The 27,248-nt window shown below is 39.2% G+C and overlaps 1 protein-coding gene across 5 annotated transcripts in view; it reads right to left on the bottom strand.

The window, feature by feature from the left end:
- The window catches only part of MACROD2 (mono-ADP ribosylhydrolase 2), a 2,057,682-nt gene that overhangs the window by 613,617 nt on the left and 1,416,817 nt on the right, over positions 1-27,248 (bottom strand). For all 5 annotated transcript variants that reach the window (NM_001351661.2, NM_001351663.2, NM_080676.6 and 2 more), the window contains one exon: positions 8,146-8,176. In NM_001351661.2, the coding sequence (NP_001338590.1) occupies positions 8,146-8,176 (31 nt within the window). The remainder of the gene's footprint in view (positions 1-8,145; positions 8,177-27,248) is intronic.

Here is a 27,248-nt window from a genome sequence, read left to right as displayed (position 1 = left end):
TGCAATTGATGGTTTGTGGCTATAGGGCTGCAGAGGGAGAGAAAGCTAGGAGAGCTGCCAGGGTCCTGAGCACCCCCAAAGTACTGGCGCCTGGCCAGGTCCTCCAGACACACTGTGAGTGTGATGCTGAGGTCCGAGTTTCCAGGAAATGGGTATGCTCACTCTTGAAATTATCCTGTTATAAAATAATCTCAGTGATTAAATAACAAAATCCATTTGAAAGGTAGCTCTGCCATCCTCAAAATTTCATTATAGCAGAACTAGGATTACAGTGGACTTTTGGGGCATAAATCTAAAAGTGAAGGTAACTCCAAAGCAAACAGGTGTGTGAGAAATGGCAGCTACTGGAGAGATGGGCTGGGTCTGGGGTACATTCGGAGAAGTCAGAACAGGGCCTCCTGGATGGCCAGCTGACCTGTATGTTCCTGAGTGACCATTGTTCCATGGGCTGTAATAAACCACAAAGGGGTTCTATTTTAACTGAAGTAAAATGCTGTATTTAGTTTGGCTCTCTAACTGAATAAGTTCTTGAGTTTCCATTTTACCTTGACAGGGTGGACACTGCCATACCTACAAATACAAACTTCCAGTTTGAGAATGCCTTTTAAAAACACATTTGTTTTTCCTAGAATAGAAATGTTTGCCCATTAAGAAAATACCAACTGGGTAGCTTTCTTTACCTGTTATTTTGCCAATCAAGAATTCTGATTTCTATATCTTCAGTTAGGCAACAATTTGGATTACAATCACTGCTGTCATGAACCAAATATTTGCTGAGCTTCTCCTAGAGACACAGTGCTTTGCTAGGCACTGGGTGTGCAAAGGATATGCAGAAGTGAATTCCTGCTCTTTAAATTCCAAACTGGCTGTGAGCACAGAATATATAAACAGCAATCTATGGAGCAACATGAGGAAGCAGTTGATAATTGTCCTGACACAAATGCTAAAAAAATTTCAGAAAGTATAATGACCACCAAGGGTTGGCATACCTAAGGAAGACTTCCTGCAGATCAAGTTTCAGCCTGTTAAACAAATTTACATGAGATAAACAAACAACCCCATTATAAAGTGGGCAAAGGACATGAACAGACACTTCTCAAAAGAAGACATACATGTGGCCAACAAGCCAATGAAAAAAAGCTCAATGCACTTATCATTAGACAAATGCAAATCAAAACCACGGTGAGATACCATCTCACACCAGTCAGAATGGCTATTCTTAAAAAGTCAAAAAATAACTGATGCTGGCAAGGTTGCAGAGAAAAGGGAACACTTACACACTGTTGGTCGGAGTGTGAATTAGTTCAACCATTGTGGAAAGTAGTATGGCGACTCCTCAAAGAGCTCAAAGCAGAACTATCACTTGACCTACCAATTCTATTACTAGTTATATACCCAGAGGAATATAAATCATTCTTTTTTTTTTTTACGGAGTTTTGTTCTTCTTGCCCAGGCTGGAGTGCAATGGTGTGATCTTGGCTCACTGCAACTTCCACCTCCCGGGTTCCAGCAATCCTCCTGCTTCAGCCTCCTGAGTAGCTGGGATTATAGATGCCCACTACCATGGCTAATTTTTGTTGGAATATAAAACGTTCCACTATACAGACACATGCATGTGACTGTTCATTGCAGCACTATTCACAATAGCAAAGACATGAAATCAACCTAAATGCCCATCAGTGACAGAGTGGATAAAGGAAATGTGGTACATATACACCATGGAATACCATGCAGCCATAAAAAAAAAGGAGATTATGTCTTTTGCAGGAATACGGATGCAGCTGGAAGCTATTATCCTTAGTAAACTAACAGAGGAAAAGAAAACCAAATAGTGTATGTTCTCACTTATAAGTGAAAGCTAAATAATGAGAACTCATGAACACAAAGAAGGGAACTACAGATTCTGGGGTCTACTCGAGGGTGGAGGGTGAGAGGAAGGAGGGGAGCAGAAAAAGGTAATGGGCACTGGGCTCAATACCTGGGTGATGAACTAATCTGTATAGCAAACCCTTGTGTCACAAGTTCACCTATGTGACAAACCTTCACATGTACCCCCAAACCTAAAATAAAACTTTTTAAAAATGTTTCAGTCTGCTTAAATGTGCTTGGCATGTTTCTGTTTGGGGCATGAGATAGACAACACTGGTGGTGATGGTATGTGCGAATTTGGTGTGTGTGCATTGGGGAAGAGGTGTTAAGGAGTAAGTTTCAGGAAGGGACCCAAGATTGGACCTCACTGTGCAATGGCAAGTTCTTATATTCATCAGATCATGTACATGTGGGTCACAGAAGATATAACCATGATGAATGGGTACCAAGAAATTTCTCAAACTATATTCTGAAGAAAACATAGTCCAGAGAAATGTTGAGGATATACTAGTTTCTATCATCAAATAACTTTAAGAACTGCCATAAATTAAATCCCCCTTTTAAAGATGCAAAGGAAAAGGCATATATAAATTTCTTAGCACACCAATTTACATCCTTAGCACACCAATTTCCCTCCCTCTCACACATTTTGAAAGCACTAGTTTATGGAGATATAGAAAGTGCCCATTGTTCAGGCTAGGAAGAGTGAACATCAATCTGCAAGCAATAGAATATGAGCAAAGGCTCCTGGGCAGATGGGAAGCACGCACCAAGTGGTATTTTAGAAAAACAATTCTAGTGAGATTTGGAATATGGAACAAGAAAGAAAAAGAGTGCCACCAGGAAATGATTCTAAAAACCTTCTCTACCTCCATTCTAGTATGACTTACAAAAATGTTGGGAGTTGTGTTTGCTTTGTAAAATTTTTCTTTTCAGCTATGGACCACTTTCTTTAAATAGAATATTACGTCAAACCCTAATAAAAAAAAGATGAAAGAAAACTTATCTGGTTAATGAAGGAGGAAGAGGGCTTCAAATAAGAGCAAGAAAACTAGTCTGTAATACACAGATCCTGGGAAAGAAGCAAGGACTGAGAAAGCTGTAACTTCACCAGGGACATATGAAATAATTTTCAAGTTGCATAATGCTGAATGGTCTATAAACCATAAATGGTATGGTTTGGCTCTGTGTCCCCACCCAAATCTCCTCCTGTAGCTCCCATAATTCCCACATATTGTGGGAAGGACTAAGTGGGAGATGAGTGAATCATGTGGGTGGGTCTTCCCTTTGCTGTTGTTGTGATAGTTAATGGGTCTCATGAGATGTGATGGTTTTGAAAACAGGAGTTTCTCTGCACAAGCTCTCTTTCTGTCTGCTGCCATCCATGTAAGACGTGACTTGCTCTTCCTTGCCTTCCACCATGATTGTGAGGCCTCCCCAGCCATGTGGAACTGTGAGTCCAATTACCTCTTTCTTTTGTGAATTACGGAGTCTCAGGTATTTCTTTATCGGCAGCATGAAAACGGACTAATGCAGGACATATGAAGTAATTTTCAAGTTGCATAATGCTGAATGGTCTATAAACCACAGAGACATAGCAATCTAAAGTTACTGAAACAGAAGGTTATGAAGCTAAAAGGAAAGTTAGGTTTCAACCCCAGGGGGACTAACCAAAAGCAATATGGCATGCGACCTTTGTGTATATCAGTCTCACTTGTAAATTTACCAAAAAACAGAGGAGAAAGAGACAAGTAGCCAGGACTGAAGAAGTATTTTCTTTGACCTAGCATTGTGAAAATGACTAAACTTGCCTGGTGACAGCCCTCCAAGCCAGCTAATGTGACTCACACTATTAATGCCATGCCTGACAATCTTCACTATTTCCCTCCCATTCGCCACAATGGTGTACTGAATCAGTTATTATATTTTGAACCACATTACTCTCTCTAGGGTGAAATCCCTATTCTTCACAGATTAAAATGGACCATGATCCACTCTAGATTTTAGTTAGTTCTTACTGTCCACTCTGGAGACTCTTTTGTTTTTGATATTTAAAAAGTTTACTTTATTAATAATCAAGAAAATGCAAATTTAAACCACAATGGGATAAAATTTCACACTCAGTAAATTGGCAACAATTTTAGAGACTGGCAATACCAAACACTGGGGAGGACAGGGAACATGGTGATCTTCAAATGGAGTGGGTAGAGTGGGTAGGAGTATAAATTGATTCAATCACTTTAGAAAACAGTTTGGTATTTCACAATACAGTTAAACATGTCCATATAATATGATCTAACAATTCTTTTGTGTGTGTGTTTAAATTATTACATTGTGTGTGGAACAAATAAATATTATTATTAAGTGAAAGATGAATTGTTAATGAATTATAGATACATAAATATACCACAGATCTCATGAGATACTTGAATATTTTTAAGTTATGTCTACTGTATTGGAAAATGTGTTTTCTTCTGCTTTTTTGTATTATAGTGATTAAGTAAAATGCCTTTTTAAACTTTTTTAAATTGTATTTTTATTTCAACATTTTTGGGGGTACATGTGGTTTTTGGTTACATGCAAAAATTCTTTGGTGGTAATTTCTGAGATATTGGCGTACCTGTCACCCAAGCAGTGTACACTGCATCCAACAGACAGTTTTACATCCCTCAAACCCCTCCCACCCGTCACCCTCAAGTCCCCAAAGTCCATGATATCATTCTTATGCCTTTGCATCCTCATAGCTTAGTTCTAACATCAAAGTGAGAACATACAATACTTGACTTCCCATTTCTAAAGTTACTTCACTTAGAATAATGGCCTCCAGCTCCATCCACATTGCTGCAAAAGACATTATTTCATTCCTTTTCATGGCTGAGTAGTATTCCATGGGGTATATACATACCACATTTTCTTTATCTACTCATTGGTTGATGGGCATTTAGGTTGGTTCCATATCTTTGCAATTGTGAATTGTGCTGCTATAAACTTGCATGTGCAAGTGTCTTTCTCATATAACGACTTCTTTTCCTCTGGATAAATACTCAGTAGTGGATTGCTGGATGGAATGGTAGTTCTATTTTGAGCTCTTTAAGGAATCTCCATACCATTTTCCATAATGGTTGTACTAATTTACATTCCCGCCAGCAGTGTAAATGTGTTCCCTTTCCACCACATCCACCACAACATCTATTGTTTTTTGACTTTTTAATTATGGCCATTCTTGCAGGAGTAAGGTGGTATCTCATCGTGGTTTTAACTTGCATTTCCCTGATAATTAGTGAGGTTGAGCATTTTTTCACATGTTTGTTGGCTGCTTGCATATCTTCTTTTGAGAATTGTCTATGTCCTTTGCCCATTTTTTATGGGATTTTTTTTTTCTTGCTGATATGTTTGAGTTCCTTATAGATTCTGGGTATTAGTTCTTGGTCAGATGCATAGTTTGCAAATATTTTCTCCCACTCTGTGGATTGTCTGCTTGCTGATTATTTATTTTGCTGTGCAGAAGCTTTTTAGTTAATTTAGGTCCCAATTATTTATTTTTGTTTTTGTTGCATCTGCTTTTGAGGTCTTAGTCATGAATTCTTTGCCTAAGCCAGTGTCTAGAAGAGTTTTCTTCCAGAATTTTTATGGTTTCAGGTCTTAGATTTAAGTCTTTGCTCCATCTTGAGTTGATTTTTGTGTGAGGTGAGAAATGAGGATCTAGTTTCATTCTACTTGTGGCTTGCCAGGTTTCCCAGCACCATTTATTGAATAGGATATCCTTTCCCCAATTTATGTTTTTGTATGCTTTGTTGAAGATCAGTTTGCTGTAAGTATTTGGCTTTATATCTGGATTCTTTATTCTGTTCTGTTGGTCTATGTGCCTGCTTTATAGGAGTACCATGCTGTTTTGTTAGTTATAGACCTGTAGTATAATTTGAAGTTGAGTAATGTCATGCCTCCAGATTTTTTTTTTTGCTTAATATTACTTTGGCTATGCAGGCTGTTTTTTTGGTTCCATATGAATTTTCAGCTTTTTTTTCCTAGTTCTGTGAAGAATGATGATGGTATTTTGATGGGAATCTGTAGGAAGTATGGTCATTTTCACAATACTGATTCTACCCATCCATGAGCATGGGATATATTTCCATTTGTTTGTGTCATCTCTGAGTACTTTCAGCAGTGTTTCATAGTTTGTCTTGTAGAGATGTTTCACCTCCTTGGTTAAGTATAATCCTAAATATTTTATCTTTTTTTTTTTTTTTTTTTTGCAGCTCTTGTGAAAGGGATTGAGTTCCTGATTTGATTCTCAACTTGGTTGTTGTTGGTTTATAGCAGTGCTACTGATTTCTGTACATGGATTTGGTATCCTGAGACATTCCTGAATTCGTTTATCAGATTGAGGAGCTTTTTGTGTGAGTTTTAGGGTTTTCTAGGTAAATGATCATATTATAGAGAACAGCAACAGTCTAACTTCTGCTTTTTTGACTTGGATGCCTTTTATTTCTTTCTCTCGTCTGATTGCTCTGGCTAAAATTTCCAGTGCTATGTTGAAAACAAGTGGTGAAAATGGGCATCCTTGTCTTGTTCCAGTTCTCATGGGGAATGCTTTTAACTTTTCCCCATTCAGTATGATGTTGGTTGTTGGTTTGTCATATATGGCTTTTATTACTTTAATGTAAGTCCCTTCTATGCCCATTTTGTTGAGGGTTTTTATCATAAAGGATGCTGGATTTTATCAATTGCTTTTTCTGCATCTATTGACATGATCATATTGGAGCCTCTAATTTTATGGTCCTTCCCTATTTTCCTTTGCTTTTCTGTTTTCCTTTCCCACCACCCCCCTACTTATAGTATACCATATATATTACATCAATTCCCTTTTTGAAGCTCTTAACACATTACCATAAGATTCTCAGAAGTAAAACATACTTCAACTCTCTGACAAGGTAATAAACATAGAAAATGATGTATACAGTATTGGTGTAGGCATTAGGTTTTTGTTTGTTTTTTTGGCAAGGAAAATCAAGATTGCAATGAAAGAACATTTTCATAATAAAAACCATTTCTGCAATGAAGTTTGGTTTGACTCTACATAAGGCGAAATAAAGAGTTAGGGTATTTGCCAGGCATAACTTTGTACATAATACTTCCTTTAAGCAAATATTTAAGGTTTGTTATTGGGCATTTGTGAGGCAGAAAGAATGGCCATGATGGGGATAATTGTGCAGATGGTCTAGTTTAGCCCCCTCCAGCCCAGTGCTCATCCTGTTTCCACAAAGACAGGCTGTAGGGGAATCTGGAGAGGAAGAAGGCTTAAATTGAAGGAGGAAACCTTAAATTTTTAAATAGTGTGACAAAATCCTTTCCCACTTAATTTGGTTCAGGCCTACATTTCTCATTTTATTTTGCTCAAGACCTTCAAAAGAAATACCAGATGAAGAAAAAAAGTAAAGCTCCTACCTTTGACATCAATCTAGGTAGTCCTTCATTGTAATAATGAATTTAAAATATATACATATATGTTAGATTTTTACATATTTTGTGCTTCAGCTGACAGCTTCCATGTGAGAAGTTTAAGTTCAGAAAGAATGTAATCTATTTCACTTAGATCAGAAAATCTTTAACATTATAAAACAGACTTATTAATGGTCTGAAAAAAAGTATAAAAAAGTTCTTGTAGGTAGGTGGAAGAATATTTAGAGAGCTTTAGGCTAGTGAAAGCAAGTGATTAAGAAACATTTTGCTTCCATCTGTAAGTGAGGCATTCACTACTTAACACAATCCATCACTATGCAGAAAAAAAAATTTGCAGTTTATTAAAATTCTTCATATTTAGTAAAAGTCACTTCTTTGGACTTTTTTAAAATTTGAAAACACAGATATATGCATATGTATGCATTTTAATTTTTCTATTATTTTGTAAATAGCAACAAAATAATGATACTGCTAAACTCTATGTACATTATGCTTTCTACTGAGAAGAAATTTGATTTCATTAAACAAAGCAATATTAGAAGTCAATCCTACTGGAACCAAATTTTTTGTTTAACAAAAGACATCAAGCCACAATGTATCAAATAATTTCATGTGATACCCGATATAACCAAATTCAAGAACCCAAAAGAATCTGAATAGCCTCATGACATTCTTTAATGGGATTTGACGAGCATTTTTAGTCTCTAAATCACAGCAAAATATATTCATCAGAGAACCTCTTATTTTTTCACTGAATCTCTGCATTTAACAGCAAAATAAAGAAATACAAACATCATCAAAAGCTGTATCACTTACCATAAATGCCTGTTGAGATGCAGGGAAATGCCTGTGAATAAACCACAAAAATAACAATGAATATTAAAGAAACAACTCTACGCAACATCATCTTTCTCAACATCTATTTTGTTTGATAATGGGATGCCCTCTACTTACATATTCAGAGCTATGAGTTGGAGTAGGGGACACTGGAAATGGGGATATTTGATTAACTGGTAACTGTTCCCTATCAGCAGTTACATCAGCTCACGAGAACCAACTGCTAAGTTTTCAGGAATCTTGTGAGGCAATTGTTAAAGTTATTATTAAGAAATTAAATTATATAAACCTACAATGAAATAAATTATATCAAAACACAGATAACCAATAGTCAGAACTCATCCCTTTCTAATTACTTTGCACATTTGACTATTACCTATGCTCTTGAGATTATGTGTGTCTGTCGTATGTGTATGGTAAAATACTACACAAGTCTCTCTTTCCAGCTCCATGGTACCTGATGTCACATCAGTTGCTTAAAATCTGAAAACATCAATTAACATTCATGACCCATATTGTGGGACAGTTAAAACCACAGACTGGCTATTGATACACATTTTAGGTAAAATTCAACAAAAGCATTCTGTGAAAATCAAAAAACTATTTAGAATGTATAATAAAGAGTATTACATATATTATTTATTATTATATGTAAATTGTGTGCTACATGTTCTTTATGTCAGTACAATTTAAAAGAAGCTTATATAATATGTACCCCTTTTTTGACAGCCAGTCTTTAAACATTTACCAGCACAGTACTGCTTATGCCATATTTTGCTTAGCAGTGTTCAGAGAATTTGATTGAAAAAAATGAATTGACAAATATAAATGTACATTTTACTCTAAATTAGGCTTTCTAGCTATAGAAAGTGGTCTGGGTATGGCAACTTTCTCTGCCAAGGGATTTCTGTGTAAATTCAACCAAGCTGTTTTACTCTTTCTGGTCTGTATTTTTCAATTGTAAAAGGAAGATAATGCCCACCATACAGAAATGTGTTGTGGACTATTGGTGGGAATGTAAATTAGTACAACCTCTACAGAAAACAGTACGGAGATTTCTCAAAGAACTAAAGATAGAACTACCATTCCATCCAACAATCTCACTGCTCAGTATCTCCTCAAAGGAAAAGAAATTATTATTTTTTTAAAAACCTCTATTCCTGCATTTATCACAGTGCTATCTATAACAAGAAAAAAAATACAATACAAATTCACAATAGTAACAATATGGAGTCAACCTAAGTGTCCATCAGTGGAGAACTGGATAAAGAAAAGATGGTAGGTGGAATACTACTCAGCCACAAAAAAGAATGAAATCATGTGTTTTGCAGCAATATAGATGGAACTAGAGACCATTATTTTAAGTGAAATAACTCAGTCACAGAAAGACAAATACTGCATGTTCTCATTTTAGTGGTAGCTAAAAAATGAGTACACATGGACATAGAGAGTAGAATAATTCATTGAAGACTCAGAAAGGTGGAAGGAGGCAAGGGGTGAGAAACTACCTGAAGGGTACAGTATATGTACACTGTTAGAGTGACGGTTACACTAAAAGCCTAGTCTTCACCATTACACAGTATATTCATGTAACAACAGTGCACTTGTACCCCCTAAATCTATAAAATAAAAAGTGAAAAAAGAAATGTGCTGTTGGAATTAATGACAGAATTTTTTTTTAAGTTACTGGCACTATGCTAGAATCTAAAAACTGCAGCTGCTATGGACCATAATAACTAACATTACTATTGAGGTCAATAATAATAAAAGATCTAAGTCCTTTTTGTTTATATCTTTTGGCTAAATGTGTACTGCCTTTTATTTCTATTAACACTATTGCATAGCCTATGTTTGTTTATTCCCTTTGCATGATGCTCTATTAAAAACGTCAAAATTTATGTGATTTTGTTTCAGAGAGAGTACAAATTGACTTTGTTAAGCTCAACTGTATGTCTGTAAAATGATATATGCTTTTTTCTGCTCCTGTGGAAGCCTTTACTATTAATAGTGAATTCTACTGTTTATAATGAGAAAGTAGAACAGTTTCTGGAACATAGTAGCTGCTCTTTTTAAATTAAATTTATGAGTCAATGCTTTGATTCTGACGGTTCTTGAGGTGCCAATAACATCTGAAGAATGTTCTTAAATGACTTAATCATTCAGTGATACAGATCATGAAGCAACAGTGTAACACAGACTCTGAAAGTGATGTAGTCTCTTTACAGGCATTCACCAACACTATCAATAGGCGTTACTCTCCGTATGAAAATCAACTGCAAGCTTACTATATATTTGTTACGATTAGAAAGGACTCAGAGTTCAGGAACAGTCTACTTAAAAATACAAATCAGAGAGGATTCAGATTCATCCCCATATTTGTGCCATGCCAGTCATGTTCCACTGTACCTTTTAAGTAGGATAAAAGTGAGTTTACAGCTTGAGCCCCAGGAATTCCATGGGAGCAAACTGAACATGTGAGCATCATGTATCTCATGTCTGGAGAGAAAAAAAAAATGTTTGACAACCTCTGCATTGAGCCCTCAAGGTGTAGGGAAGGCAAGATTTTACCTCTACCTTCCTAGAGTTTTTCAGTTGTGGCTGATAATTAAATTGACACAAGACAGATCAACAAGAAAAAAAATACAATACAAATGTATTTAATTCAAGTTGTATGTGGCATTGGAGGCTTCATAAGAAAATGATGACTGAAAGATGCAGTTAAAGTTAAACACATATACTAAATTGGACAAAGAGTAGTAGATTATGAAGATGTGACAAGGTAAAGGGGCTTGGGCTAGGGTAGTTAATTGGGTGAAGTGATAAGAAAGACAAGAGTTAGTTTAACAAGGTGTGTTTGGACAGATTTCCAGTGACCTCAACTTCCCATCCTTGATGATAAGAATGACACTTTTCTTCTAGTACAGGGAGGATATATTTCAACTGGAAATTTTATCTCCTGCTTTTAAAAAGGACTGCAAGAGTGTTCTTCTTGCACCTGCCCTTTTTTTACGTGCCTTTGACTCAAAATAGTCAATGTGCCAGAGGGGCACATTTTTGGGTTGTATGTTCTGAACTCTTTCAAAGGGAAAGCCAGAAGATAGCAAAATGTTTTCAACAAGATGGCCCACTTTAATTCACATCTTGGTGTCCTTCCAATTCATAACGTGGGTCAGTTTACTGAACTACTCTGAGCACTGCTTTTTTCTTTAGTAAATGGAAACTCTGAGGCCTGCCTCAAAGGGTTTGTAGAAGGAGTAAGAGAAATAAAGAACATGAGCATTGTGTCTGAGAAGTAGTAATATCTTGATTAGTGATGACTCCTGGCATGGATGCTGTGATGTCCACCAGGTTCTGTTGCTCCAGAGCAAGGCTTCCCAACCTCAGCACTATTGATATTTTGGACCAGATAATTCTTTGTTCTTGGAGGCTATGTGCATTGTGGTAAGTTTAGCAGCACCCCTGGATGCTACCAGCTAGATATCAGTAGCATCTCTCCAGTTGTGCTAATCAGAAATATTTCTAGACATTGTCAAATGTTCCCAGGGGGAAAAAATCACCCCTTGTTGAGAATCACTGACCTTGAGTCTAGGACCTAGAACCCAGCAGACAGCCTTCAACTATCAACATTTTCAAGGACTGCCTCAGCTATAAAAAGCCACCTCACCCAGAATCATGCTCCTGCTCAGGACAGTTCACACCAGTAACTGATCAATGAAGTGGTATAAGGCCTGGCCACCTTGGCTCATCAGTACAACACTGAAGGGTCCTTCCAGCTTCAGAGTTCCTCACTGTGTCTGTAGGGTCCATCATTGGGTCTACATCCAGCTCACCTTCTCCTTCAGCCTACTCCTGCTTCCTCTCTCTCTCTTCCCCAGGTATTGATTAAGGGCACTCCTTAATAAACATCTAGCATTCTAAACTCTGTCTTAGAGTCTGTTTTCTGGGAACTGATCTGGGCTAACTCCCTTTCGCTTCCCTCTTAGATCCAGCTATGTGAATCTTTCTCCTATCAGATCTAGCAGAAGAAAAACATACTGCACAGTTAATGACAAGTTTCATTTGCCTTAGCTCTCAGTTCTGTCTTGGAATCAATCATGCAACTTAGTAATTGAGTCTGAATGTACCAACTGCCTTGTCTGTTTTAACAAGGACAAATAGTTTCATCTGGAAATGACATCGTTGCCTTGAATGTGGGAGCAAATGGTAGTGTAATGGAGGATGACTTTGGTAATATTATTGCATTAATTCAAACAAAAAGGCAATGATAAAGCAGAGATGGAAATAGAGTATTGTGGAAAAAAATTCATTTTATGTAAAATAACTTTGCACAGAATTCATCTAAACTAAGCCTACTCCATTAATCATTTTTTATTACTCAGAGAGAGAGAGACAGACAGACAGAGAGAGACAGGGAGAGAGAGATTGAGAAAGAGCAAGTGAACAAGCAAACTAACAACTTTTGCAGCACATAGTTTGTGTTCTCTGCCATAATAAACTTCTGATGGGGCCATCAGAAGTGAGTAGCATGAGATTTCTTTATTTCAAAGCTGCATTTAATATAACCACCTTCCATGCAAATACTATCCCATGGAGGAATGATAAATTGTACCAAAACCCATGCCAGGTGTTGCACATAACTCAGCAATCACCTCTAGAATTTGGAGAATGACATTAGCAACCAAATTTGTGAGCCTCCAGATTCTCCTTTCAGCAAACTTCAGGAGCAATATGTCTCCATGCTAATCAGGCCTGAGCACCCAGCCATCAGAAATTCTAGGGAGACAAAAACAAAAAACAAAAAAAAATCATTTGAGGCCGAGGCAGACAAATCACTTTAGAGCAGGAGTTAGAGACCAGCCTGGGCAACATGGTGAAACCCTGCCTCTACTAAAAATACAAAAAATTAGCCGGGCATGGTGGCACATGCCTGTAGTCCCAGCTACTCAGGAGGCTGAAGTGGCAGAATCACCTGAGCCCAGGATGTTGAGGCTGCAGTGAGCCATGATTCCACCACTACACTCCAGCCTGGGCCACAGGAGTGAGACCGTGTCTTAAAAAATAAAAATAAAAATAAATTTGACTTAAGAGTGGAGAATTTTTTCTTATGTGAAATTATAGGTTGGGCCACCAAGTGGGAAATACTTTTATAGCCCAACATGTTGATATCAAGCAGATTTGCAAAAACACTGAAATCCTTTTTTTTTTTTTTTTTTATTGATCATTCTTGGGTGTTTCTCGCAGAGGGGGATTTGGCAGGGTCATAGGACAATAGTGGAGGGAAGGTCAGCAGATAAACAAGTGAACAAAGGTCTCTGGTTTTCCTAGGCAGAGGACCCTGCGGCCTTCCGCAGTGAAAAGCACTGAAATCCTTAAGGCTGTAGACTCTGTCTCCCATTCCCTTGAAAGTCCGTCTTCATTTCTTCCCTTTCTGTCTAAGTAATTTAAGGGTAAGGAAGGAAATGCTCCTCAGCCTTCTCTGTCTTGACCCTAACAGTGTCTCAAAACATACACAATAAACCCTAAGCCATCATCCCTACCACTTGCTTCTCTCTGACCCTTGATTCTCAGTTTAGGCATTCTTGCAAAGTGGGAATTTCTTTCTCTCTTGCTCATCCATCGTCATCCCATCCACTTTTACACAGCAGTCTTGCAGTCTGGGTAGAAATGACTCCACCTTCAGCTCCATCGGAAGGGGCTGACTGACCTAAATAAGCAGCATACCTTCCCCTCCATAGCCACAAGAATAGAAAGATGAAGAGTTTATTGACCACCATTGACCTGTTGGTGTAAATTAACTGTAAAGTGCTCTTAACCTCTAGAATTTTTCAATTGCTTAGCCAACACATTCCTTACTGTTTAGTCAGTTTTAGTTAGATTTCCCATTATTTGCAAGCAAAACCATGCTACCTGATATACCTTCCATTTAAGTGTTTTTCATTATATATCACATTTCACTGACTCAAGCAAGCTGTCAATTGTAAGAAACACCATTATTTTGTGTTACTTTGTGGACCACTAAGAAGAGAAAGCTCCACCAGTTAAAATATAACACATGCTTTCTTATCATTTAGGATTTTCATTGCATACTCATTGAAATTGCTATTGTTGATTTATGTAGATAATTTTTAAGCACATCTTCCTCTACAGCATGGATAAAAAGGAGATAAATTGTTTGTTTCCTAAAACTTCCTCACATTCAGGATCCAGTACTTATGAATCACTTTTCAACTCAGAGTCATAGATAGGAGTTTTCCACAGTTTTATCCTCATACCCTCAAGAATGATGGTGTTGCTCCAGTCCTTAATGACTGACCCACTGTTGGCTCTGCACTTTTCTTCCAAACCACTGCCACCCTCTCTGAAAGTTTTGCGCGTAGCTCTTTCTTTTTTCATGCCAGAGCTTCCAACAAAGGGTTTCAGACAACAGTCAAGACACATACCTCCTCCTCAGGCGGCCCCTAATTGGTTGGTTAGCTGAAAGTCAAGGGATGGCAGTTGCCCAGCCAATCCGCCAGAAATGACAACCAAGTGTGTATGTGTATAGGCAGAGAAGCTTCATCACAACTATGTGTGATTGTAAAACACCTCAAATATAAGAGTTATCCTAGTTCAAGTAAGTTAGAATATGAGAACATGTGCATCTTAGAAACAATGAAATTCAGAATACCATTCTTTCCCTTCTTTTTCTTTTCTCAGAGACAGGGTCTCACTCTGTTGCCCAGGCTGGAGTACAGTGGTGCAGTCCTATCATACTGCAGCCTCAAAGTCCTGTGCTCAAGCCATTCTCCCTCCTCAGCCTCCTAAGTAGCTGGGACTACAGGCATTCATCACCACATCTGGCTAATTTGTTTTTATTTTTTGTAGAGACGAGGTCTCACTATGTTTCCCAGGCTAGTGTCAAACTCCTGGCTTCAACTGATCCTCCTGCCTTGGCCTCCCAAAGTGCCAGGATTCCAGGCATGAGCCACTGTGCTTGGCCCCACTCTTTTCTCTACATGTTGGTTATCAGCATAGTGGGTTGTGCCATCATGCCGTTAACTAGGGTGCAGTATATACTTCAGCATTTTCAAACCATGGTATGCCTAACTCTAGGAGTATGAAAGATATTTTGAGGTGGTAAACAGATGGACATTACCCATTTAAATGTGATATTTACATTTTTCCCAAGTCTTCATCCCTCCTTCTACACATACCCTTTACCATATAATTTTGCAGTTCCTCTGCAATAGACTGAATGTTTGTGTCCCCCACAAGATTCACGTGGTGAAGCTCTGGTCCCACTGTGATGGTGCTTGGAGGTGGGGCCTTTGGGAGGTGATTAGGTCATGAGGGTGGAGGCCTCATGAGTGGGATTAGTGCCACTAGAGGACATTAGAGGTCAGAGAGCTACCTAGCTCTTCTTTCCACCATGTGAGAATACAAGGATAAGTTGGCTGTCTGCAACTTGAGCCCTGAAAGAGGGCTCTCACCATAATCTGACTATGCTGGCACCCTGATCTTAGATTCCCAGCCTCCAGAACTGTAAGAAATAAATGCTTGTTGTTTAAATCACAGTCTATAGTAATTTGTTATGCATCCCGAACCGAGTAAGACACTCCACGAGGGGAGTAGTATAAATGCAATGTTGTGTCCATGCCCTAAATCCATACGCTGAAACCTAATTCCCAATATGATGGCATTAGGAGGTGGAGCCTTTGGGAGGTAATTAGGGGATAAGGGTGGAGCCCTTCCCTCATGAATGGGATCAGTGCTCTTATAAGAAGAGACACCAGGAAGATTATCTCTTTCTCCACTATATGAGGCCACAGAAAGAAGACAGCAGTCTACACACCAAGAAAAGAGCTCTTGACAGACACCAAACCTGCTGGCACCTTGACCTTGGACTTCCCAGCCTCCAGAACTGTGAGAAATATAAGTTGTTTAAGCCACTCAGACTATGGTATTTGTTATAGCAGCCTGAGCTGACTAAGACAGAGGGGATATATTTTTCTTCATCCCGCTGATGATAGACTTGAGCATGTGACTTGATTTGGCCAATGGGATAATAATGGACGTGACATTTAGGTTTCAACTTTTAAATTCCTGTCTTTGGAGGAGAACAATGAGAAGACTATACCATAAGAACACGCCTCATGTAGCTACTGGTCCAGGGAGGCTGACAGACAAGTGGAGTAGATGTAGTAAACTCAGTCTCAGATCAGCTGTGCCCCAACCAACCCATAGCCATGTAAGCAAGAAATGCTTACTATTGCACATTACTGAGTTTTTGAGTGCTGGTTATATAGCATTACTGTAGTAATGGCAATGATATAACTATGCTAAAACTATAAGTTATTATAATCTATCATAACAAGTAATGCTTGTTTTCCATTTATGACAATGATACAAAGTTTCCTTTGAAAATAAAATTGCTTAAAGAGTCAATTAGAATATTAGGTAAACCAGAAGATGGAATGTAAATGACCAAAGTTAGGAAAATACCAATGCAGGAAATAAAGATTTGACATGGAAAGCACAAGCACAGGTCACTCACTAGCTACAGGTCTGGGAGCCAACAGTATATCCCCTCAGCACCTCTCTATCCCCATCTATAAAAGGAGCAGAGCTGGGCTAGATGGCTTATTTGGCTATTAAATTCTGTGATGCTATGAAACAGCCTCTTATCCTTCTCTATAGCTCAAGATAAAGGTGATAGAGAGACAGGCAATTTTATAGTATCCTGAATGCCTCACAGTGTTTGGACATGGGAGGCAGCAGCACTGCAGCAATAATTGTTGTCATTTCTTGAATTACCGAAATGTGCTGAGCACTGGGCTCAGAGCTCTATGTGCATTATCTGATTCATTCCCATGAACAAGCCTGTGATCAAAAACAGATTGCCCACTTTCTATAAACATGGAGAAGAGAAAAGCTAAGAAAGAAAACTTGTCCAAGGTCACAGAAAGGAATACTAAAGGATTTCTTTATCTCGTATAAAGAGTAATTGATTCTATTTTTTAATTACACAAATAACACATGAATACAAGGCTAAAACAAGACAGGTATAGGCAGATCTCAGTGAGAACAGTTCTCTTACAGCCACACGCTTTCTCTCCTCTAATTCGCTGAGAACACCCTCCTTGAGGCCATCACTGCCAAGAGTAGAGTGAGAATCCTTCCGCTGCATTCATTTACATTTTAAAGACTAAATAGTGTCATGTCCTCTTCCTCAACTCAACCCTGTAATCACCTCCCATCATGCTTTAATAAAATTCAAAATCACAACCATAACCTCCAATCCTCGCTTCCTTAGCCCCTCCCTTCCACTTTTTCCTTGCTCCTGAGTTCCAGCCACATTGGTCTCCTTTTGTTCTTCAAGTGCACAAAGCATGATTCTACTCCAGGGCCACTGACCTTGTTGTCACCTCTGTCTGGCATACTCCATTTCCCAAATACTCCCTGGTTTTCTCCCTTGTTCCTTTTAGATCTTTGATCAAATGTCACCTCCTCGAAGAGGTCTTCCTAGCCTCCAGCTAAATTACTCTCTATTGCTTAGCCTGCTTTGTATCTCTTTACAACTCCCATCACCACCTGACACACAGTTGTTTGCTTGTTCACAGTCTCCCCAACATCAATTCCCTCTTTCCTGAGTTGCAAACTCCCAGGAAGACCTTTGCTTTGTTTATTGCTGTATCACCAGCACCTAGAATGGTGTCTGGAACTCAATAAATATCTGTTGTGTGGATAAATGAATAAATGATTAAGTTATAAGATCTATACAAGCATCGCCATATTTTTCTTCTATACAAATTGGAGCTTACATTGGTTTTTATGTTCTGGAACTTGCCTTTTTTCATGTAGTAGGTCTTAGGAGATCATTCAATGTCAGTGTATATTGATCTACCTCATATGTTTCTAATAGCATATTCTAGTCTATGGTATGATTATACTATGTTTATTTAACTACTGCCACATTGATGAATATGTAGGCTGTGTGTAAATTTTGCTGTAACATGCAACCTGGCAACCCATATTCTTTTTGTTTTGTTTTGGTTTTGAGACAGAGTCTCACTCTGTCACCTAGGTTGGAGTGCAGTGGCAGGATTATGGCTCACTGCAGCCTCAGCCTCCCTGAGCTGAGGTGATCCTCTCACCTCAGCCTCCTGAATAGCTGGGACTACAGGTGCATGCCACCACACCTGGTTAATTTTTGCATGTTTTGTAGAAACAAGGTCTCACTATGCTGGCCAGGTTGGTCTCTAACTTCTGGATTCAAGCAATCCGCCTGTCTCAGCCTCCCAAAATGCTGGGATTATAGGCATGAGCCACCGCACCCTTGTGTTTTTTTTAGAGGAAGGACGGCACTCTATTGCCCAGGCTGAAATGCAGTGGTACTATCACAGCTCACTTTGGCCTCAAACTGAAACTATTAAACTTTTCCCACCTCAGCCTTTCAAGTAGCTGGGACCATAGGCACGCACCACTATGCCTGGTTAATTTTTTTAAGTTTTCGGAAAGACGAGGGTCTCACTATGCTATCTAGGCTAGTCTCCAACTCCTAGCATCAAGTAATCCTCCTGCCTCGGCCTGCCAAAGTGCTGGGATTCCAGGCAAGAACTCCCATATCCAGCGTTACAACCAACACTCTAGATGTTTCTACCTAATATATTCTGGTAGGATCTATTCCTAGAAATAAAATTAACCCACTTAACCATTAGGTTAAAGAAGAAGCACATTTAAAATTTTAAAAATACTACCAAATTGCTCCTCTTAAAGTTTTTTTCAATATAAAATCTCTTTAACAGTGGAGAATAGTCAATAATTCAATTTTTTTCCCCATCGCATGGGTGAATATAGTAAAAGGATGCCGTCTCCTTCAAAAACTGCATTCAAAAGTGCAAACACTATTACAGTGCCCATCCCACCCACAAGGCTAACTGACCCAAAGGCCAAGGTTCTTTGTAGGAGACTGTGCATGAGATCACATAGAAACGGCCAGTGAAGTGTTTGGAGTGTGGTGTGCGAACTCACTGAGGCACTATAATTATAAGTAATAACTTGGTTTCTTTTTGTTTTCTTCATTATACCTTTGAAATAGCTGTCGTAAAGTCATTTATTGCCAGCTGCTTTCATGTTTATAACTATTCGACTCCATGCAGTATAAAACAAACTATTACATGGCCATGAATAGTAGCAGCCCTCTTTCAAACTTTTTATTTTCCGAGAAGACAGCTGGATTAGTTTCACCATGAATTTATTAGGATACAAAATGTTGGAACCAGCAAATGGAAGAACTTGATTTTTGCCTGAGCTTGCTTGTGTGACTTGTAGGAATGTTTTACTGTAAATCATACATATGTGAAAAGGAGAACAGGTCTCCATAAACCTGCTGGACCCAAGAGAATGTGCATCCTGTTCTAGAATGTTTACATCTATAAACTCCCTTTATATAGAAGCAAAGGGAAGAAACAAAGATTAAAAACAAAGCAAAACAAAATCCCTGCTCATATTAACGGCAAATCAGTTGGGCAATATGAAAGCTTCTACTGGAAGAAAATGTTCCCCAAATGGTGACCCTTCAATGACCTTAATCACCTCTAATTTTGTAAGTATCCCCTCTCCATCTTCCTCATAATTAAGGAACATGTATCAGGCACATTCTGCATACCTGGCACTAAGAGGCGGGAAGTGCAGGGGGACGCCCTTAGGTGACTTTGCTGGTGCAGAGCCCGAGGAAAATTGACATAAGAGGCAATCTTTTCAAATCCCCTGAGAAGTAAATTACCCACTCGAGACTAAAAGGCCCACAGCTCATGGCCATTGCCAGGCCTAACTGACCCTGAGAGGGGGGCCTCCTGGGCTGAAGAAGAGGTTTAAATGACAAGAAGAAGCCTCTTGCACACAGGAATCGGGAACAAGAACACAGGGCTGATTGCAGGAGCTCTGGAGGACAGATACACCTGGGAGCATTCCTCAGCATAGCTCTAAGGGACACAGTTGGTGCCTCATCCTTCTCCAAGCCCATTCACCCCTGTCCATGATACGCCCCCCTCACAGCAACTGCCAGAGGACTGCCCCTGGATGCTGGAACTAACTTTTATAGTGCACATAGAGCTCGGGAATCAAATGCTCCCCAGGGGCAGCCCTTTACCAATGACTGATGGGTGAGGAATGGGAGGGTGCAAATTCCTTGCCCTTGCCCTGGTGGGGACAATGTTGAAGGGTGACCTTCACCATCTGGAGAGCAACCCCGTGGCCTTGGGTAATCACCTGGGATTTGCCCCAATACCCACTCTTCCTTTCACTCTCACTTCTTCACATTTCACCTGTTGTGTTTTCTGGGACCACTTCGTCATAAATCTCTTTCCCCCAAATCCTTATCCCAGAGTCTGCTTCTGAGGAAACCAACCTAAGACATTTGATATTGTTATTTCCCTTGGTGTGGCTGGCAGTAGAGCTTTTAAAGCAAAATAAACCTGCAGGGTTATTTTGGCAGAACCTCAGAGGAAACAGAGCACTTGCTTATAACCAGCTAGTCTTGGTAAGAAGGAGGAAAAGCAGGTAAATCTTTATAAAGCCACAAGAAGGAAGAAAGGCCCCCCTGAGACCTGGATTAAAACCCAGGAGGGACTGCCAAGGACAAACAACTGGGAAAGGATTCAGTGAGAGGCCCCTTAAGAAGAAGGCAGTGTTCCTTGGGATTCTGTCTTTCACGTGTCCAGTGCCTCCGAAGGTTTTTTAAACAAACCCAAGTGGAGGTTATTATGGATCCTTGGCTTTGAGTCAATCCCTGGTTTTCTTAATAAGTTGTACCTTCCAGTGTCTCTTAATTAGGAAGTTGAAGGTCTAACTTCCAGGAGAAGCTTTTAAGAAAATCTATTCACACCAACCAACCAATCACAAAGCAACACAGACGGTCTCAGAGAGAAATAGTTCCCAACCCTTAACAGGCTCCAGTGGTGAGGTTCCAAAGAACCTATGGGCCAGGTGCTATGGATAGAGCAATCAACCATTTCTCACCTAACTTGGCCTCAAATCCTCTTCCGGGACTCACTGACAGGCTGCTAATAAACTGAACAGTTGTTAGGAGGGAGAGAGAATACACATTCAACAATATTTACTGGAAGATCATAGAAATGGACAGAATACTCAGGAGCTTCAGCTATCAGTCTCTTCCCCTGTTAAAGCTTAACAAGTAGGAAGAAAGATACCACCTTGTAAATTCTACAGCTTCCGTGGGCTTCATTGTCTTTCATAATAACCAAGTAAGACTGACAGAAAGCATTATTATTATTCTTATCCCCAGACTGGGTGAGTAACCTCCCCAGAGTCACACAGTGGTTAAGAAGAAAAGCTCAGACAGAAGCCCCGATCCTTTGACTCAGAATTCTAAGCACTTTCCACTGCAGAACAGAGTCAGTGAGGTCAAGGGAAGAAGGGAAAGAGAAGAATTCATCTTGAGCATCCTCGGTCCTTGAGAAAGAACTGGTTAGAGATGAGAATTCTTTTTCAGCATCCACAGTGTGAAAACCGTTCTATGTGCCACCTACCAGATCTTAACAGCCTTAAACATGTCTTCAAACTGAAGATTAGTGTGACTTTCTCCCAAAAAAACAGAAGAAAAATATCCTCCGTTATAGTATTTCTCAAACTTTAGCTGCATCAGAATCACCTGGAGGGCCTAACTACCAGTTTCTCATCCAGAAGGTCTGCGGTGGAGCCCAAGAATTTGCATTTCGAACAACCTCCTAGTTGATATTGCTGTTGCTGGCTCCCAGGACCACACTTTTTTTTTTCTTTTCTTTTCTTTCTTTCTTTCTTTTTTTTTTTTTTTTTTGAGACAGGGTTTCGCTCTGTCACCTGGGCTGGAGGACAGTGGTGCGATCATGCATCACTGCAGCTTTGACTGCTGGGACTCAAGTGATTCTCCCATCTCAGCCTCCCCAGTAGTTGGGAACTACAGGCACGCACCAGCATACCCATCTAATATTTATTATTATTATTATTCATAGGGATGAGGTCTTGCTGTGTTGTCCAGGCTGGTCTCAAACTCCTGAGCTCAAGCAATCCTCCTGCCTCGGCCTTCCAAAGTGCTGGGATTACAAGCGTGAACCCCCATATCTGGCCCAGGACCACACTTTACGAACCATTACTCTATCCATTTCTAATCAAAGCTTTTTTCCCTTTTTTTGTATGGCTACACCAGATAATTGTAGCCCAGACTGCATCCTTCTCATATCCAGCACAGTCTCTCTTCCCTGGGATGAGCTAAGGTCCTTTTCTGTGTTTACTAATGTCACAGAACCACATAATTGGAGAAGGAGCAGGTTGCTAGTTTACCAACGCATATGCAGATTTCACGCCTGCAGAGTCTTGACACGTCTGTTTTATCCCTTGAAGTGTCGGCATGTTCTCTCAACAAACTGGGCAATTCCATTTCATCCCCTCCATGATTTCATGGTGTGAACTTGAAATCATTACATAAATGAAGAGATGGGTTTCCATGTGAGTACAGCCACTTCTTTTTTTTTTTGAGACGGAGTCTCGCTCTGTCGCCCGGGCTGGAGTGCAGTGGCGCGATCTCGGCTCACTGCAAGCTCTGCCTCCCGGGTTCACGCCATTCTCCTGCCTCAGCCTCCCGAGTAGCTGGGACTACCGGCGCCCCCCCACCGCCCCGCTAATTTTTTGTATTTTTAGTAGAGATGGGGTATCACCATGTTAGCCAGGATGGTCTCGATCTCCTGACCTCGTGATCCGACTGCCTCGGCCTCCCAAAGTGCTGGGATTACAGGCGTGAGCCACCTTGCCCAGCCAATACAGCCACTTTTTAAACCAATTACATGTGCAAACACCTGACTCCATATCATATTTATGAAAGTCAGGTGAGATCCTCTTGGCAGCTGCAGGGGGCCTAAACTCTAGTATGGTTTATGAAGAATGAGGGCTTTAAACAAATGAATTGTGATTATGCAGCTTGATTCAATACGTAAAGGTAATAAATTCTTCTTTCCTTAGTCACAAAGGAAGACATCAGTCAAGGCTAATGCACACTTTATATTTAACAAGGGAATTAATTAGGGAATAATGACCAAGAAAGAGATGTCTAAAGGACACACCCTGTAGAAATGACTAAAATAAAAGAAAGCAAGAAAAGAAAAGGAGAAAGAAATTGATTGTAGTCATATTTCCCAAGTTAAAAATTGCTACTCGTGGCCTGAAAATGGCTGTGCTTTGTGGACCATCAATCACAGTGAAGAGTTTTATCAACCAGAGTCTATTATGGAAATGAGCAAAAAGAACAAGATGGGGAGCAGCCAGTCTGCAAGGAGATATGACAGCTCAGGCCCCAGGAGGTAAGTTATTTCTCCACATTTCTCAGTGTTCACTGCATTAATCCAACCAGCAACCACAAGGAGGGGAGCAAGCAGCTGGCCATTCACTAAATAAATGCTCTAGCGGGCCAGGGTTGGCTCCCACACTGGGAGATGAGCAAACCATAAAGATGAGAAGATTTGGTTTTGCAAAATGTGACAAACCTAGGATTCACTAAGAGTAGAGAGTGAATTTCTTTCTACTCCTAGGGAGTTAACTTAGTCCATACACTAGATTGTCATTCTTATTAGAAAGGTAATAAGGTCACTTATTGCATGGATATATGGATGATGGATGGAAGAAAAGATGGAAGGAGGAATGGATAGCTGAATGGATGGAGCAAGTATTGACTTGATGAATACTTTTAGCCGCCACTAGTTCTGCTAGACTTTGACTTCATCAAAAGTTTAATTTCACAAAGTGATGAATTTAATTTTTCATCACAATCTTATGATTGCATCTTGATTAAGGATGAACAAAATAAAAATTATCCATAGCAGATTGTAACTCTATCTCAGATAAAACTTACTACAGCCAAGTGTTATATTCCTTTAAAGTGTGTGGAAGGATTTCTGCCCATCACTTTTCCTCTCCCTCCACTGTTTTTAATTTTTGGGATTCTCTGAAAGTGGGACACATCCTTCAACATGGAAAATGACAGTTTTGTTAGTAACAAACATCACTTAATGTAATTGAGGAACATTTTTGAGGACAAGTAAGAAGCCAATGATTAGACAAGACTTCTTCACTAGAGATGTATTTCCCACAAGCTCCAAAGAACTGACCAAAATTTCCCCACCCTACAAAATGTGTTCCTTTTGGAACTAACATATCTTCATGGGATCTCTAGCTCACATCCAGCTGCAAAATCTGTAAATTATTCCTTTGACCACTCCAGATCACTTTAAACTTTGTTTCAGTGTTTTTCTAGAAGAACACATATCTAACTCAGAATTGCAACTGGCCCTGTAGTTATTTGTTCTAACTTCCGCATGCACCATACATGGCTCCCCTCTCCACCATTTTTGATGGGACTCACCCAAGCATCATCTAAACTTCTCCAGGTACAGGGAGTTCCCTGGTTCACAAAGTGCCATGGACCAGCACTTGTCAAAAGCCAATGTGTATCCAATCATTTAGGCATATTGCTAAAATGCAAATTCTGATTCCGTTTCTCTGGGGCAGGCTGAAATTATGTTTCTAACAGGGTCCCAGGTGATGCTAATGTTACTGATCTGTGGACATATTTAGAAGCAAGTAAATAGAAAATAATTCTACTTCAGGCTCTACTTTCATGATATCATTGCATTAATTCCAACCTTGGGAAGGCAAGGAGTAGGGCATTATTATTTTCACGTATACGGATACCTGAAGTGGCAGATCTTCAAAAGCTACACAGAGGTTAAGGATAACCAGGAAGAGGCTGGATGATGAAGCGTGTGCTCTATACTTGTACCTTGTAACAATACTGCCCTTTTTAAATACCTAACTCCTCTCATCCTGATAAGCACATGCGTCCTTCTGTTCACATAAAGTGTCATTATCACAGACTCAATTGTTTCCTAGTGGGGCAATTTTATCGGTTTCTACCTGTCCATGACACGTCTACAGCTTAGACCACAGTCAATATATTCCAAAAATTGGAGCCAGAATAATTATCAAACATAAATGTGCAGACAAGCCACCAGAGGATCTGGTTAAAATGAAAATTCTAATTCAGTGAGTCTGGGTTGGGGTCTGAGATTCTGTATGATTAACATGCTCCCAGATGATACCAATACTGACAGTCTTGGGATTACAGTCTGAGTAGCAAGAGTTTTAGACTACTGATTCTTCAAACTAAGAACTTTCACAATTCTGATCCCTGTACTGATGGTGACCCTTATATCAGTAAAGTGTCCTATGCTGCAAATTACAGGAAACTTAACTCCAAGTGGCAGTAAAAGTGAAAGAAATGCACTTTTAGTCTTTTGTACTTAAAAAAATCTAATGATATATATAACCTCAGTTTAGGCTTGACTCAGCTGCTCTATGGTGCCTCCAATTCTATATTAAATGACCATTTGACTTCGGTTACTTGGATGATATAAACCACATGTACGTTAACATATATACATATATAATAGCATGGGCATGCTACCTGGTGAGGAAGTCAATTGGTCAGGTGCTTTTCTGTGTGAGCTAAGACAAAAGCTAAGGTATCGTTTCTTGTCAGAATTGCAAATGGCTCTTCTTAGGTTGAGAGCTGTATAGAGTGATTTCTGAGAACTACCTCTAAAGACTATGATTCAGTGATCTGAGAGGCTTCCAAGAATTTTGTCATTATTAGAAGGCATAGACCATTATGAACTTTAAAAAATCCCACAAACATATGAATTTTGTCTCCTGCCTTCAGGTTGAACCATAAATCACCAGATAACTTACAATTTTTTTAAAATCCCACTAAAGATTCTTGGAACTCTCAGTAAACATTAAATAACACTCCCCAATCACATATAACTTTTCTCCCTTGTGTAGTTTCTAACTGAGGGGAAGTCTTCCTTCCTTCATCCTCCTCTACTATCTCTACCTCCACTCCTTCCTTGTTATGATTTGGTAAGATGAAGTCATCCTTAATGAGACACAATGAACCATTTTCATAAGATTAGAGCTACTAATCAATAACTTCGGAAATTACTAAGGGGGAATAAAATACCAGAGTTAATGTTTCCTTTACATATGGTGTATTTCCTTTAGTCTGGTCACTCCAGTATTCCATTCAGAATTCTGAAGTGCCTGCAATTTCAACCTTGATTCTCATTTACCTTTGATGTGAAGCGAAACTTGCCCCGTCAAAAAAAAAAGTTTTATATTTTCATAAAGAAATGCCATGACATTTTGCCTTCTGCAGTGAATGCACAAGCTTGCAAGATTATGTTGATGTGATGGTGGCTGTGCTAGCACATCCAGGAATTGAAAGAGCAGAAGAAAAATGCAAGTATTTTCGCTAAATTAAAGCAAGGAAAGATACTTTTTTAATACTAATGGATCTTTATTCTACTTTTCTTCTCTTGAATGATAATATGCAGTATTTTCTAGTTACTTATGGTAAGGCATATTTTTGGAAAATTATTAGCAATGCAGATATGACCATCTTTGGGCACATTTTATTAGAGAGATTTTTAAGTATGTAATGACTCCCTATGATATTTTATGAGCTTTCATAAATGGGTCATTTGTCCAGATAAGAAATTTAGTTATAGAATGAACATAGAGATATATTTAGATCTTAATTACACAGGCCAGACCCACTGGCAAAGTCATTAGACATAGTAATTCCTGAGATTCCCAGAAGAATGAACTGATCATGAGAGAGCTCACTGGGGCCATTTTTCTGGCTTTAAGAGGCCTGAAATTTTGCCCTACAGTCTCGATAATTTAAATGGTACCATATTCTCTGCTACAGTTCCAGAGAACTGTCAGTTTTCACGTAGAAAACAAAGTCTGGATCTACGGAGTCTCCAACTTTGGGAAATTGATGGTTTATCTGGATAAATTAATCAAAATGGAAATCACTTTAAACAAGGGTTTTCTTTAGCCTGCAATGTGCTGATGCTTTGTTTAGTTAACCTCTATGCTTTAATGTTTTAGTTACAAGTATTTATAATTGCTTGACAAGAGATGGCATAGTCAAAAGGCAATGCATAAGGGTATTCAATGTCTCTATTAAATGAGCTGGAAATTCTTCGCTT

The sequence above is a fragment of the Homo sapiens genome, chromosome 20 (genome assembly GCF_000001405.40).
Source record: "Homo sapiens chromosome 20, GRCh38.p14 Primary Assembly".
NCBI lineage: Eukaryota > Metazoa > Chordata > Mammalia > Primates > Hominidae > Homo > Homo sapiens.
Note: the sequence above shows the minus strand (reverse complement) of the source record. Positions and strands in the feature narration are given on the sequence as shown.